The 17198-nt window shown below is 35.7% G+C and overlaps 1 protein-coding gene across 16 annotated transcripts in view; it reads right to left on the minus strand.

Moving 5' to 3' along the window:
• CACNA2D1 (calcium voltage-gated channel auxiliary subunit alpha2delta 1) overlaps window positions 1-17198 on the minus strand; it is a 497513-nt gene that overhangs the window by 122989 nt on the left and 357326 nt on the right. For all 16 annotated transcript variants that reach the window (XR_001744873.3, XM_005250574.4, XM_005250572.4 and 13 more), the window contains exon 7: window positions 15337-15468. Coding sequence is in view for 15 of the 16 variants with exons in the window: in XM_005250574.4 (XP_005250631.1) it covers window positions 15337-15468 (132 nt within the window). In the remaining variant the exon portion in view is untranslated. The remainder of the gene's footprint in view (window positions 1-15336; window positions 15469-17198) is intronic.

Raw genomic sequence — 17198 nt, forward strand, 5'->3', positions numbered from 1 at the left:
TCATCATTAAAGGTGATAACAATGATTTACAGGAATGTTTTCCCCTGATCAAAAATGAACTGTTAGTGTGTCCTTTACTAAATCTACTGGTCTACCATTTACTTCACCTGATACATAGGATGTGTTACGGGTGTTATCAAATTGTTGATTTAAGCAGGTATTTACTTGTGCATTAACTCAGAATACTGATATACGTAATAGGAAAATATTCTTGAGAAAGTACGCAGATTTTAGTGCCATTTTCTGGTTAACATGGTCTAAAAATAATAGCGAAGTACCCCTTTTTTTTTTATTTCAGCTGCTAGGAAAGAATAAAGCAAATAATGATGCATTGAGGACTGATTCTCTCGGTAGAAACATCAAATGACAGCTAATTGCATTTCCCAATTAAAAAGTTCAAATGTATTTTTTCTAATCCTAAAAACTTCACAGTCTTAGTCTCATGATAATTTTAAAAAGTAAATTTCATATACTCAACAATGCCTTTAAAAGTCACTCCTGGTCCTTTGCCTAGATCTAATTGGTGGACCATTATTTTCGGTTTGTCTCAATCATCTCCTATAGAGTATTAGTCATGGCTCTGAACTGCAAGCCAAGATAATCAATTGGGACTATTTTCAAGCCCAAATTATTTCACTAAATGTGTACTGCATAGCTCACAAAATTTCCATAAATTTCAGTGTTGCTCAATTACTATCATCCCAGAATGGATCCTCCACAGTCCCTAATTTGCACCATGGCTCCAATAACCAAGTTCAGGGTAGATGACTGTCATTAGAAGAATGTGGATTATACCCACACAAAGGTGCCAAAAAATCTAGGAAAGCAAATAGCTGGCCTTTTCAGATTTTGAGTTATCTGCTCCCGAATAAAACTTTTAACCTGGGAAATACTTGACATACAGGAACAAGATTCTATGTTACCCATGGTGGCACAAATGCCTTAATGAAAAATCTGAAATCTTTTGTATCTTAGTATAGTAAAGTACTTCTAACTCAAATAACAGGCTAAGTTGCGCAGGGTGTGGAGAGTGGTAGTGCATGGATAGATTCTGCTCCAGGCAGTTATGCAGTCTTAAAGCTGGGAGATCTTTTGCCTCCTTCAGCACTTGGATTCCAAGGGCATCCAGGACATTGGGCTTGCAGCTGCTAGATGGAGGGAGGAAGTGTGGAGAAAGCAGTCTCAAGTCCTAAAAGTCTCAGGCTGGAAGTGACACATATTACTTTCACTCATTCTCTATTGGTATGAACTTGTCATATGGTCCTACAGAGACAAAAAGGTGGGAGAAATGTAGTCCCTGGCTAGGGAGTCTTATTTAAAAGAAAATTTCCCAATGGAATGGGAAGACAGAACTTTGGTGGACAGCTAGCAACCTTGGTCACAGGTACAAATGGACAATTTAAAAATGAGTAATATCCAGTACCTATTTGAACATCAAATTTTCTGTACTCAGCAATGTCTTCAAGTAATCCACCACAGAGATGACGGAGATGAGGATAAGCTAAATTTAGAATCTAACAAATAAATAAAACATACCAGTATTAAGAATTATTTCTAGACTAAATTTTAGGACTGAAGTGGCTTGCACAAGAAATTTACTGATGAAAAGAACAACAACTAGAAGTCATCTGGGCATTGTTGTTGATGTTGTGTTACTAACGAAACCACAAACCTGATCTGCGGCAATGCTGTAGTTGAACCCTAAAGCAACTTTTGGGCTCTAAACCTGCACCAGTAACAGCAAGCAATAAAAGCTGTTTAGCCTCAAGCACACCCCTGCAGATGTGCCAGAAAGTGTTTTAGACAAGATAGTTAATCCTAGAGAATACTACCAGAAACAGTGAGATGAGCTAACCAAGAAACGTAGCTTTATGCAAAAGAAGGATATCTTTGTATTTCTTGCCTGATAGAATGAGATAGGGTGAATGGGTCAGTGATTGTTCTGTATTTCTCACTCTCATTTTGCAGATGGGAGTTTTTATCGTAGTTACCCAGCAGACATGACCAATGAATATTATATATTTGGGCAGCAATGGGAATAGGGTAGAGAAAATAACTGGCATAATTCTGTATTATAGGTAGTCAAATGAGGAAACATCCTACCTGATGGAGAGAACTGCGTGTGACCCAGAGATCCTGGATTTTATTCATTTGTTGAGACTTTGAATCATCTATGGGGAGGAGCTGAATATGTTCTACACGTGGAAAAAAATGGTATGCACAGATACTTGAAATGCCAGAAGAATGGCCTGTAACAGGGCTTCAATATGCATTTCCTCCTCCTTCCTTCTAGTAAGAGTCCTCAAGACTGCCCTGCCAGAAACTATACTTTTCAGTTTCTCCTGTCATGATGTAGCCATGTGATCAAATTCTAGTAGATAGGATGTGAGCAAAAGTGATATATGCATGACTCTTCAATCACTCTTGTTGCCTTCTACTAATTTTCCTGTCTTCTTTTGGCCTCAAAAGTTTTACGGTGGTATTGAGCCCATTTTAATCAGACAGATGAGGACAACAACCTAAGGAATGGCAGATAGCTGAAACCTCAGTTGCTGGACAACATCATGGACCAGGGTTACCCTAAGCACTGATTTACCTATTCGGTAGGAATTTTTCCTCCGAGTATTTTTTAAATGTTTCCTTTGTTATATATTATTAAGTAATTGAATCAGTACCTTGATACAGGTCAGGACTTTTCTCAATCATGCCAACATGGGTCAAGCATTAAAGCTTTGAGAATGCAAAGGAGGCAAAACCTTCATGTGGTGTCTTGAATAACTGATGGAGTACAATTGGAATGTTCATAATACAAAGAGATGATGAACACTTGAGGTGATGAATACCCCACTCACCCTTATGTGATTATTAGACATTATATGCTTGTATCAAAATTATATACCTGCTATGTGCCCATAAAAATTAAAAATAAAAGTAAAAAACTTTTTAAAAGTCTGCTTCACTGTATTGCTCTCATTCCCATGTATTTTTAGGAGAGTATTATTTTGTCCCCAGGAAACTGCTTATTGCTATATAAGACTTCTAGTGAGTCCCAAATACATGGTCCCAAGTAATCAGTTACTTTTGAAAAATAACAATCATTCCCAGATGAAATTTTCAAATGCTGAATGTCTAAAGCTTTATGGCTTAGAACCATCAAGGAGATTCACAAGCAGAAGACAAGACAGGAAAGCAAGCATTCCAGGTGAGTAAATATTAATATGAAGAGTCCATTCTGTTGTCATTTTGAAATTGTCTTCCCTGGTTGGACCTAGCCTAGTGTAGAAATTAAAATCATGAATTTGGGAACCAGCCTACCTGGATTTTTCACTGGGTGCATGAATTTGGATAAATTAACTTTTTTTTCAGTAAAATGGGACTAATAATGCCACTTACTAGGATTACAGCTAAGACTTAATGAATTTTACACATAAACACTTAGAACCATAGTTGGCACAAAATAAGCACTCCATTTACAGATACCTGAAACAGTACCACTGAGTCACTGGAACTATAGATTATAGATATTTAAAAATAGATTTTTATAAGATATGCTTAGATGTTAACCACTTAACATGTTCCTGTGACTGGGGCTTGAACATGATACTATTTTCCCATCCCATTCCACCTCCCTGATGCAGGCTGGTGTTACACAGTCAATAAAACTTTCTAGGAATCTAAAAACTGACTTCATGATATTATCCTCAGAAACCTCATGGAGAATACTGACATAGATGAGAGGACAGGATGGGCAAGATGTGCAGACAGGGACCTAGAAAACAGTAACTCTATGTTCCTTAACATTCTCCAACTGCTTGTTCTCCTTGTTTCATTTTTATTTAGAAACTGATCCTCTAAAATTCTACTCTAAAACTCTCTTTCAGTTCTAGTACTTATGATCTTGACTTGTTTATCCAGCTTAAAAAAATACCTATTATACACTATATGCACAGAACTGTGTTAGGTGATACGAGGCATACAAATATGTAATTAACTATTTCTCACTGCATAGATTGAAATGGTTTTTAAAATGGCATATGCAAAATAAATTCTGGAAGAAGGTAAAATTCACTATCTATTGTAATATACATAAAAACAAAATTATCTGTGAGAACAAAATAAAGAAAGATTGCTTTGGGGGCAAGTCTTCATATGTTGGTATTTTATTTATTTTATTTTAATTTTTTTGAGATGGAGTTTCACTGTTGTTGCCCAGGCGTGAGTGCAATGGTGCAACCTTGGCTCATTTGAACCTCTGCCTCCTGGGTTCAAGTGATTCTCCTGCCTCAGCCTACCGAGTAGCTGGGATTACAGGTGCCCACAACCACACCCGGCTAATTTTTGTATTTTTATTAGATACGGGGTTTCATCATGTTGACCAGGCTGGTCTCGAACTCCTGACCTCAGGTGATCCGCCTGCCTCGGCCTCCCAAAATGCTTTGATTACAGGCGTCAGCCCTCACTCTCGGCCTGCATTTTATTTTGAATGAATGATAAGATGCACACAACCAGAGATGGGCTCTAGGAACTAGGCACATAGAGACACGAACACAAAAAGGCAGATTTGTAGAATTGAAAATAAAACAAAAAAATTAAAAGTGGAGAAAATATAATACAGGGGTAAACAATGAAGTTTGAACTGTACATTAAGAGATAAAACTGGAAACGTAGATTGAGTTAGAATCTTTGGATGGTCTGAATGTCATGGTAAGAGAGCCAGATGCCATTAACTAGACAATGCCAGCTTGTATAATTCACCAGACAGCTGATAATCTAACTCTACCCCACATCACTTTTATTACTTTTTTATTTTTTGAGATGGAGTCTCAGTCTGTTGCCTAGGCTTGAGTGCAGTGGTACGATCTAGGCTCACTGCAACCTTTTCTTCCCAGGTTGAAAGCAATTCTCCTGCCTCAGCCTCCTGAGGAGCTGGGATTACAGGTGCCCGCCATTACGCCTGGCTAATTTTTGTATTTTTAGTAGAGATGAGGTTGCACTATGTTGGCCAGGCTGGTCTTGAACTTCTGACCTCAGATGATCCTCCCTCCTTGGCCTCCTAAACTGCTGGGATTACAGGCATGAGCCACTGTGCCTGGCCCTCCACATCATTTTGAAATAATTTTACTAGCACTTTGTTTGCATTATATTTTAATGTGTTTACAAGTTTTCCTTTTCATCCACCTGTGAACTCCTCTAGAGAAAAATCTTCTCTTACTGGTATTAGAATCCTCAGGATATCTCAGTTTCTTCAGAAACAGAAGTTCTGCCTTGTTCTTATCAGTCTTTCCTCCTTCGTCCAGACTTAATTACACTGATCTAATCAAATAATTTTGAATTTTAATTTTGTTTCTGGGCAGTGAGTCTCGGTATTTAGGATATTCAGATCATATCACTATATTGGTTGGAGAGTGACTTTGATATTTCCACTGTAATATTTCCAGAATTTTTTTTTAATTAAGTTCTGGGGTACTTGTGCACAATGTGCAGGTTTGTTACATAGGTACACATGTGCCACGTTGGTCTGCTACACCCATCAACCCGTCATCTACATTAGGTATTTTTCCTCATGCTATCCCTCCCCTAGTCCTCCATCCCCTGACAGACCCCAGTGTGTGATGTTCCCCTCCCTGTGTCCATGTGTCCTCATTGTTCAACTCCCACTTATGAGTGAGAACATGTGGTGTTTGGTTTTCTCTATTTCCAGAAGTTTTCTCAAACTTCTTATAAACAATAGGCAGAAACCCATACACAGATACATGGTATTACAGCTGAGGATAAATCACCATAATTAAAAAAAAAAAAACCCTTATTACAAAGTGGATTACTGGTAATACTGAAGATGCCAGATAACACACTTAAAGCATTTTTATTTAAAGGGGTATCTGTCTGTCAGCAGGAGTAGCAGTCAACAGGGAAAAGTCGGGTAGTTAAATGAAATACTCAATAAAGTAAATGGTACACAAACATTTAATCCTTTAGATGTCCCATAATGCAGTCATTAAGTGACTTGGAAATAAGCGTGAGCACAGTAAGTTCTATGAGGCAAGTGTTGGGGAGGATTTACTGGGAAATGATGTTAGATATGTGCTACACAGACAAAAACGTGAAGTCTGACAGAGAAACATGTTTCTTATTTTTGTAAGCAAATAAATTCAATTAGATGACAATAATGACATTGCTAAAAACATAAAACAAACTATGATTCTACAGGAACAAGTTTCCTAGTTCTGTAAGTGAAAATCTTAGATGATGGTGATAGTGATAGATTTCTTTAAAAGTTTATATTTAGCATATCTGAGAAAGTGCTTGAAACATCTGAGTTTTTGACAAAAAAATCTTTTTAATTTTTCATAATCAAGTATACTGAACATAAATGAATTACACAGCAAAGATGTTCTATGCATCTAAAAATGAATGGCATAAGTACAGAAATTTGGTAACACAGAAAGAAAAAAGAAACAGATTGAGAGATATATCTTAGAAGTTGAAAACAGCTAAATTTTTTTAGCAATACTTATTTACATATTTTGCATATAATGTTATCCCCATTCAAATTACAAATGGCTCTCATTTTCATATTACCAACCTGTTTACCTACTCTAACCTGTGAGCAATAAAATCAATCATTTAGTCAGTTTAGGTATGACTGCATCCTTGGTTGACCATAAGGTGAACAATTATTACGACCATTATCTGTGAAAAATAAGACAGATTCAGGTAAGAGATAAGGTTATACAAAATGCAACAAAAATGCTACAGAATTGCCTTCATAATCATGATGAAATCAGAATTTTAAAACAGTATGTCATCCTTTTGTGTATGTGTAAAATGCATCCCCACACAACACAATTGATGGATAGTATACAGCAAAGAAAACCACGTAATATGAAACCAGTGCTTGAGCGTAAACAGAGCTATTTGTACCCTCTTGTCAACACCTCAAACTTTACTGTTCTAAGTTAAACTCATCACTTTTCTCCCAAAATAAGAACTTTTGATTTTTAATTTTGGTAAACAGCTTTGATATTCTCATCCATTCAACTTAAAAAATGATACTCAACTGACACTCTACATCAGTCATTAAATTCATGTTTTTAAAAAATAAAGTCTGATATCATCATTTCTATTTAAGAATTAATTCCTATTTGATCCCTTTTTCAGATCTTTAAAATTCCACATCTGACCATTAAAATAGCATATCTTCTGGTCAAGCTTCCCCAAGTCTTTCTCCTTCTAATCATAATATTAAGTGCTTTAATCATTGCATTACAGTGCCCAAAATGTTTGTGGTACTTTGCCTACACATTAAATCCCAAACCATTCTGACATTCAAGGCGACATATTCTACCATTAATAAACCTTTTGATTCAATATTACTTTTTCTATAACAAACTATTGGATTAACTGACCTCACTAGTCTCCAGCAGTGGTTATTCATCTCCTTATATTTTTATTTTATGCCATTCTTCCCTCCAGAAACATTTTGCCTTCTCTTCTTCATTGACTTGGTTTTCAATCCAAAGTTCATAAACCTCTTATATGACTCTAATCCATAATTACCTCTTCTTTTTCAAAATTTCTATAGCAAATCTATTGCTATTCTATTTAAGTGACTTGGCATTTAGTCATTTAATAATTTGTATTGCAATCTAAATTTAAGATGTATTTAATTTAGATGTATAAGTTGACTACCTAATTAAATTTAAATTTTCTAAAAGGCAGAAACAACTTGTTATTTTAAAACACAAATGTCCATATAGTAACCATAGCAGAGATGCTTTTTGTTCCCCAATATCTGTTTTCCTTTTCTTACTTAGTACAGCCCCCTGCCATTTAGCTGGATATATGGCCATTTTGAAGGTAACTATGACCAAGAGACCACTAAATTCTGGCCAGAAACAAATGAAAGAAAATGCTTTATGTGATTTCCGGGAAGTTCCCTTAAAAAGGGGGCAAAGAAGAATACCATTCTTTGCTCCTAATAAAGAGCACAAGTAACAACAATAGACTCTAAGGCAGAGCCCATGCTCAGAGAATGACAGAGTAGTGAGATCTGGGTGCAGACCCCTTATTTGTGTAGTTTCCCTACCTGCCCCAGTCTACGTTAACTCTGATTGACATGAGTAAAAACCAAACTTCCATAGTGTTAAAAATCACTATTATTTTGGATTTGCTTCAACTGGTAGCTAGTAAGAGTCCTAACTAATACACTGGACTTTAATAATTATTAGCATAAAATGTAATAAACACTTCAATTTAAAGTTTATATAATGATCAACAACTATATACATTTATAGTTGAACTATGTGTCCATAAACAAATGTTAAAGTAAAAAAAAAAAAAAAATCAGGCATTTTTAGAGAAAACCAAAAGCAGTACTTCTATAAATACTATAAATGTTGAGGCTCCACTGGTATCCCATTTTCTTCTAGTTGGCTAAAAATAGATCGAACGCTTCATTTATGACTAAACTTTAAAAAGTATTCTTTGGACTACCTTATCATCTGCTATTTGATGCTTAAAATATTCCTAAATTATTGTTCAAAAAGTGGTACACAATTTAAGAGCTATTGGCTACCTGTATGGAAAAAAAAAGTCATTCCATATACTTTGTAAGAGATTCTTTTGCATTTTATTCCAGCAAAATCCTAGCAGAAATAGCAACAAGAAGATGTCTCTCAGAGGTCTACTTTACATTAACTTAATACACATTAGGTTCCTTTATTGTAATCTCATAGTTTTGAAATTAACAAACGAGGCAGGGCAGAGAAAGAACAAATAATAAGACATTAAGTAAACGTCATACGGAGATGAAGTAGATTTTTAGTTTTCTCCCTTTTTTAATAAATACAACTAATTGTCTAAAAAAAAGAGTAAGTGCTGGCTACATTGGCATTTCAATGAACCACTGATTCCTAATAACAATCCCAATTACTGCAACAATTGGTACAATTTCAGGAGATATTAACAGGTGAAATGACCAGTTTGTACCTATGGTTTTTATGATGCATAAGAATTCACAAAGTTGATAGCTATTGAAAGCAGTTTTTAATAGCTTTAATTTATATAAATAAGTTAAGAGCTTCTAAAGGAAAGAACTTGCAAGATAAACTGATTTTCCAATGAGCACATATTCAAGGAAGACATCATTAAATATGAGTTCCTAATCATATCTATGTCATGAGCTAGCTGTATGACTAGGGCTAGTCATTCTACTTATCTTGCAAAACAAAGACTGTGGATGTAGCAAATGCTACAGCAGGCTATAAGCAGATAAAACTAGTGCTTGCTTTAGAAATCATTTTGTTCAATCATCCCAAGTTACTGATGAAGAAACAGGTACAGAAATATAATATGACTTAAAAGTACAAAGTGACGGTGATGACAGCTTTTATAAGAACCTAGAACTCCTCATAGTCTACCTGCCTTCCAAGAAGGAGAGGAGAAAGAGGAAGAAGAAAGAGGGTGGAGAAAGAGGAAAAAAAGAAAAAAGAAGAAGTGAGAAGAAAAAGGACAGACACCAATGATTTTCTTAGCTTATTTCCATATACATCAATGAAATTATAAAGCAGGTTCATGTTCAGTCCAAGGACAGACATTAAGAGTTTAAATCTCCATTAATTACGGAACTACTGTTTTGAGTCAGCACTGCATAGGTACCTTTATATTACGCTAGCTCTAGAGATCTCACTGGAAGTCAGTGTTTCTATGTATTTTAAATAATCTGATAAATGAAAATCATGAGAGTACTCTAACTTTCCCCTACATCTGGGCAATATGCTCCAAACAGATTTAATGCTTCTTATTCTCTTAACAATTATACCATCTAAGCATTGTTATCCTCCTTGTTTCACAGCTGAGGTCAATGAGGACTTTCCAAAGGTCATCATCATACAAAGTATACTGGTGGAGGTGGGGTTTATATTCTGGCTATCTGATTCAAGAATATAATTACTGTGGAATCTAAAAAAGTCTATCTTAGCTGGGTGTGGTAGCTCACACCTGTAATCCCAGCACTTTGGGAGGCTGAGGCAGGTGGATCACCTGAGGTCAGGACTTCGAGACCAGCCTTGCCAACATGGAGAAAACCCGTCTCTACTAATAATACAAAAATTAGCCAGGCATGGTGGCATGCATCTGTAATCCCTGCTACTTGGGAGGCTGAGGCAGGAGAATCGCTCGAACCCAGGGGGCAGAGGTTGCAGTGAGCCGAGATTACGCCACTGCACTCCAGCCTAGGTAACAAAGTGAGACTCTGTCTCAAAAAAAAAAAAAAAAAAGTTGACGTCATAGAACACAGAGTCTATAATGGCGGTTACCAAAGACTGGGTTGGTTACAAGGGAGGAAGAGATGGGGAGATGTTGGTCAAAGGACGCATAATTACAGTTAGAGAGGAGGAATAAATTCAAGAAATCTATCATATAAACGGTGACTTTAGTTAATGATGATATATAGACCATAATAATAACTATGTTAGGTGAGGCTTTGTTAATTAGCTAGATTTAACCATTCTACAATATGTGTGTGTATGTCAAAACTTATACATATTATCTTTCAATTTTTAATTTTTTTATTTTTAATTATTATGGGTACATAATACTGATGGGGTTAAAAATATATATGTGTGTATATATATACGTATATATATGCGTACATATGTATAGATGTGTGTATATATATACATATATGTACACCTATATATATATACACACCTATATACCTATATATGTATATAGGTGTGTATATATATAAAAATAAATTGCTCACCTGCCTCTTTGTATGTGACTCTGCTTTAAGTAGCATATTAATAATCAACAAGGATATTTTTTAGCTTCTATTGTGAATCAGAAGGTTCTAGTTCCTGCAAAATATTTTATTTTCAATAGCTCTGTGGCAAGTATTCACTTACAAAAATAAAAATAGGTAGCTTACAGAAGTTAAAAATGAAAATTATAAAATTCTATATATCTGGACGAATAGGCTTTGCTTGATCTTTACAATACTGTGAAGTAATGGGGAAGCTGACTTTCCCATATTACAAATATAGAAACTGAAAGCCTGAAAGACAAGGTTGATGAATTTAGCAAAAAGAAATACAAGACAATCAGTTAACTTTGAATTTCAATAAAAAATAAATACCTTCTTAGCAAAAGTGTATCACAAATATTGCATGAAGCATACTTACACTAACAAGTTATTCATTGCTTATTTGAAATTGACATTTAATTGGACATCTTTTATCGTATCTGGCAGCCCTACAGAAAAGTGACCTAAGGCCATCAGCTACAATCCGTCTCCTGACCAGTTTCACTACGTGGTGTTATTGCCTGACTTTATGGCTCAGTCATGTTTAGATTCCTTCCAGAGTTCTATTTCAGTTTCCTTGTCAACTCACTGTAAGCTTCAATTATGTTCTTTAATGTCTGAGATAAAGAGAAAGCTGCATTTAGGCAAAATTATTCTAGTTGACATGCACTATTGTAGAAATGCCTACTGTTTCCTATTTTCAAAGTACTTTTCATCATATTATCTCATTGATCACAATAACCCCCAGGGGATAAAATGAGGAGTTATTAATGTTCCACTTTTTCAAATTTAATGATTAGGTCTCAGAGAGTTTAGGAGACCTACCTAGGTTCTCACAGCTAGCAGGGAGAGCCTAGCCTGAGGGTCAAGTCTTCCATGTAAAAGTTCAATTAAGTAGAAGTAACATATGTGCTGTTGCCATTTATTGTTAAGATAATTAAAATACTAAAAGACTATTTTTGACCTCTGGTTTAACATACAGTAAACAGGGGTGAGTCCTTCTATATTATTTTGCTTCTATCAAAATGATATGATCAGAGAAGTATATATAGTCTCCCCAAAAATTTTTTAATCATGTCATTTCAACAAAGCTGTGTTTTTGTGTTAAAAACACAGTCTTACAAAAACAGAAACACAATCGCCCACTTTTAAAGTTATGACATTGTCTCAATGTCTTTACTAAATACTTGGTTATATTATATCATTACTGTCATAAAGAGCAACTCAGTAACAGATTCACTAAACTAAAATCCATTCAAGTGTATTCCCTAGCAGTCAAGTGGGCTATTTTAATGACCTTCCTGTAACAGGTAAATGAATTCAGCCTGTTATTTGGTGAGTCATTTTGCTTGCCAAACTCTTACTTAAAACCTAGGTATTGTGAGTGGGCACATGGTTGCTTCCACAGCTAATGTTTTGGAAAGACTAGTGCAGGACTTTTCTTGGTCACTTTGCCAGCCAGAGACCTCTGGCCAGTGACACCCCTGCCCAGGCCTTGCTTGGGTCCGGGTTCACCGCAGGAGACACCCCATCTACTGTGCCTGCTGGTCAGCACCCGGCCTGCACTCCAGCGTGGTTCCCACAGCCACTGTGACTGTGCACCCAGCCTCTGGTGGGAGGGGGTGTGTGAGCAAGTGAGTGCAGGCTCCGGTCCGCCATTCCAAGTGCTGGCACAGAAGCGGGCTCTATGTGGGGCTTGTGGTTAGACCAGGCATGTCATAAGTGACTCTCATGGTGGACTCTGGCACCTCAAATGCGGAAACGTGGTGGCACCCAGGCAGGGGTGCCCCTGACCCTGAAGCATGTGTTACAGCATGCTAATTAGTTCTTTAAGTCCCGCCATCTGCAGCCTAATGGATGGTGGCAGGTTAACAACTCTGTCAGTCCCTTGCTCCACTCTGGCCCACGGCTCTGGGGCTGGCTCAGCCCTGCCACTGCTTCCTGATGTATGGGGCAGCTGTCCTCCACCAGCGGAGGGCAGAGGACCATAGTGTTACAACTTTCTTTGTACCCACATTTCATGGGTTCTTGTCACACTTCCAAGAAGAATGAGGTTACGCAGACAACTGAAGGGTGGGGAGAGCAGAGAAGAATCTTATTGAGCAATGAGAAAGCTCTTAGAGCAGAAGGAATGTATGGGTCATCCCTCTACCTGATGTCAGGTGGTCTCTTACTCAGTGTGGTTGAGTCTGGGGCTTTTATGGACTCAGAACGGGGAGTTCATGTTGATTGGTTTGTAAGTATGCAAAAAGGCTAAAACAAAGGCACTTCTCAAAGGTGGGCATGACAGTGTAAAAAACCAATTAGGAAAGGGTACGTATATGTAAAATAGATGAAGGGTGGGGATCAATCAGAGGAAAGCACATCAAACAAGAAGGGAGGTTCTCAATCTGGTCTGAGGATTTACCCAGGACTTATAGCTAGGCTTTAAACCGTCTTCTGCTTGAAAGTAATGTTTCACTGGAAACCCGTCCCATCTTCATAGATTTTTGTCTGTCTCCTGCCTCTATCAAGACCACATGAATTCTGCTAAATATCTAAATATGTTTTCCAAAATGAAGTGAACAAATGTCAACACATTTGAAAATATATGATTAGCATCAAAAAATTAAAGCCATCATCCCTCAATTAGCATTTGAAGTTAAAGAATTACAGAATATGTTTTATTAGTAATTTTTAAAGTTAACTGCTATTTGTTAAAAGAGCCATTTTTGAAAAGGGTTCATAATACAACTTATCTTTCCATCCATCTCTTGATCCCCATGTTTTCTCTCCCATTTTGCATGCATTCTTTCCTTCCTCTCCTCTTCTTGTTTTTCTCTTGTAACCCTTTTCTCTCTTCCTCTATATCATCATTTTCTCTCCGATACTGGGCTCTTGACTGCTCATTATCATCCTAATTTTCTTTTAATTATCATTTCCCTCTTTCCCTTACTTATATATGGAATATTGTTATGATAAAGGATATATGAAAAGACTTGAAAGCTACATAATGCTGTAAGTTACTGACAAATATATTCTTATATTTGTATATTATAGGATAGGACATCAGATATCTATTTCCTATATTTTAAATTATATCAGGTCTTCTAATTTATAATTGTTTTATAAGACCTGATACAATTTTAAGGTTTATTACATCAGGTTTATTATGCGCATGAGCAGTGTTGTCTTTTTCCTTTATGTTGTCTTATATAAGTATTATATAATATAATACTCAAATTTTAAGTCTTCTGATAATAGTATTTAACATGTTAATAAACTAACAAGATTATGTTTAGAAAGGTTCTACTAAAGTGAACAATATTCCATAAAGGGAAAATTCCACTATTATAATGATAAACTATGTAATATATTCCCATCAGATAATAATACAAATATTTAATTATAACTCATTTTTTCAATATTTAAATCAAACTTGGCTTTTCCTAGTGTGTTGGACTTATGCGGAAAAAAATTATTACTGATTTTACCATCTGGCATCTGCAACCCTGCAGAAGTTATATGGTTTTTACCTAATTTGAGTACCATTCAGTCCATTGATACCCAGATACTTTCATTCATTGCTATAATATTACAATCCAAACTTATATATTTTCTAATTTTTATTTCACCCTTATTTACTGCTGTGACTTTTTATATGAATAACTCAATTTGTTAAACATGTTTAGGACACCCAAGTCTCAAGAAGAATTATGCTGTTTAAGGTCATACTGTAGCAATTTAAAGCCAAATTACCTAGCACGTATCCCATAACTCAGATCATGTTTGAGAAAGAAAACGCATTTTATGTTTTTCAGCTTGCTCTAAAAAGTGGAGAAAGTAAAAAACACCAGTAGACATTTCACTTAAAGTGTTTTCAATAGGTTTTCAGGATGTCCTAGGAATTAATTTTTCATTTTGTTATAGAAATTACTATTTCTCCTTACTCTTTTTATAATACATATTTATAAAAAGATGTTTTCACTTTAACATAAAATATATTCATCTTCATTGAGTATGTATGATCACTGAGATGCACTCAGAAGTGATATAACCTGACACATAAGAAAAACTCTATTTTCTTTGTGATTTCATTTTATTTCTTGTCCTACTCATTTTAACAGATCCACGTCTACTGATTAAACACATTAAACTTTTGTTACAAATTTCAATCAATTTATAAAAATTCAATTCAATTCTCTAATGTGACTCACAGCTTGGTGCATGCTGAGCAGTTGGGCCTTTATCTCAGAGCTGTTTTAAGATTGATGGTAATTTCCTGTTCCAGGTATATACCTAAGGATACCTGCTCATGGTCTCACAGCAGCATGGCCTGATTCCAGGTACCAATAGCTCCACAACTGCTCCTTAGGTATTTCAGTTTAAAGTGACTGTGGTCAATCCAAAGCCATGTAAAGAGGAATGTTCTTTCCTTATAAAAGTAGTGTGATATAGTCATATTTTTCTTACAGTATCAGGGAAGATAACAGAGTATTCTCCAGAAACATTGAGGCTGGAACTTGACAATGATTGAATCACTAAGCACCTACCTGGATAATATCGAGCTAGGCCAGTGGCACTGCCAAAAACCTGCCACAATAATGAAGGGTCTTCCTCGCGATTCTTTTTGAAAACTTCATCTAAGGCACTTGTCCAGTTGAGTTCATTTAACACAATTGTTGCTAACAAAAAAGAGAGAAACCATTAATTAATTCAAATTTGTAATTAAAAACTGAATGTCTTCATTTATTTACAAAATAATATTAAATATGTTCATTGTTCTACCTATAAAATAACTCTAATCCAGTAGTTATCAACAAGTTTTCGACACTTTAGAGGACAGTTTGACTGGATCTACTACCAACATGTACATAGTATTCATCGAAAGATGTTTTTCAAGAGGTTTATACTCTGGAGAGAATTTCTGAAAACAAAACTTTGTATGACAGTGTCCCTACTGACATTTTGGCCTCGGTTATTCTTTGTTGTGAGGTCTAATCCTGTGAAAATGTTTAGCAGCATCTCTGGCCTCTATCCACTAGATACTAGTACCTCCCCACCCCCAAGTTGTGACATGCGAAAATGTCTCCAGACTGTCAGATGGCCCCTGCGGGCAAAATCACTCCTGCTTGAGAACTACTGTGACACATAGAATATGAGGAGAAATGAGTGGTATTCCTTTTTATCCTCAGAGGTAGTTCTGAGGAAACCTATGGGGCACCTTAGGACAGAGTTTTAAGACCACAGTAATCAACTATTGATGACTCTCTGCGGCAGAGCAACATAAATTAGCCTGCTACCTTAAAAAAAAAAAAAAGAAAAAAAGTCATTGGGCATAGCTAATTAACTATGTTTATACAACAAAAATGTACATATTTTAGTAATGGGAAAATTTACTCAGAGGCTTGACAATATCCGTGTTAGAAACAAACTAGTTGACACTTTATCACTACCTTCATAAACAATAGTTTTTTTTTTTCTCCTGGTTATTTCTATTAATAATTAGAGCATGGTGCCGATAAGGGCCAGGTGATTGATTTTGATACGTATTTATAACTAGAAACTAATCTTGGATAGGTATTACAAACATATACCACTCATTACAATGAAAGAGAAGCAATTATAATGTAGGATATAATATGGGTTAAGTGTAAGATATAATATGGGTTAAAATAGTGCATAATTTATAACTGACCCTTCATGATCATAACTTCTCAAGTCTAGCATACTAAAAATTTAATTGGCCTAATATAATTTTCCCTTTACACAAAAAAAGGCATAATTTTCTATGTAAAATATACACCATGTCCCCAGAGATTAGCAGACAGGGCCACTTTGCATTTGACAATCTCTGACCAAGCCTGAACAGTGGAAATGTGCTTAGGATAAAGACTGGAGATACAGCTTAACGTCTTTCTATTTTTTTCTGTGATGACAGCAAATAAAAGAAATGAATGCCATCATGGTTAAATCATGCACAAGCCTTTTTAAAGGTAAAATTAAAAACAGCGCCTGTGAAACAAGATGCACGGCCTATGTGTTTATATTTTAAAGTTGTATCATTTACCAAAAAAGAAATCAACAAAAACAAGGTGATTGTGAAACTCTTCTGGGACCAGCATGCTAAAGCAGTCCTCATTATTGAAAACTAACAAGATTTTCATCTTTATGGATGCGATTACTTTCAAAAAGATCAGTTGTGTGTGTGTGAATATTCATGAGCTGCATCAGATCCATCGTGCATCTGAGATACTAGAGAATTCATATTCAAAAGCATGATCCAATGAACACTAAGCAGCCAGTTATATGAGAATTTATATTCACACAGATAACCTGAACTGATACCCACTATTCATGAATATTTATATCAATATACAAAATAGCATAGAAAGAGGAACATTGTGTTTTCTCT

The sequence above is a fragment of the Homo sapiens genome, chromosome 7 (assembly GCF_000001405.40).
Source record: "Homo sapiens chromosome 7, GRCh38.p14 Primary Assembly".
In the NCBI taxonomy this organism is placed as follows: domain Eukaryota; kingdom Metazoa; phylum Chordata; class Mammalia; order Primates; family Hominidae; genus Homo; species Homo sapiens.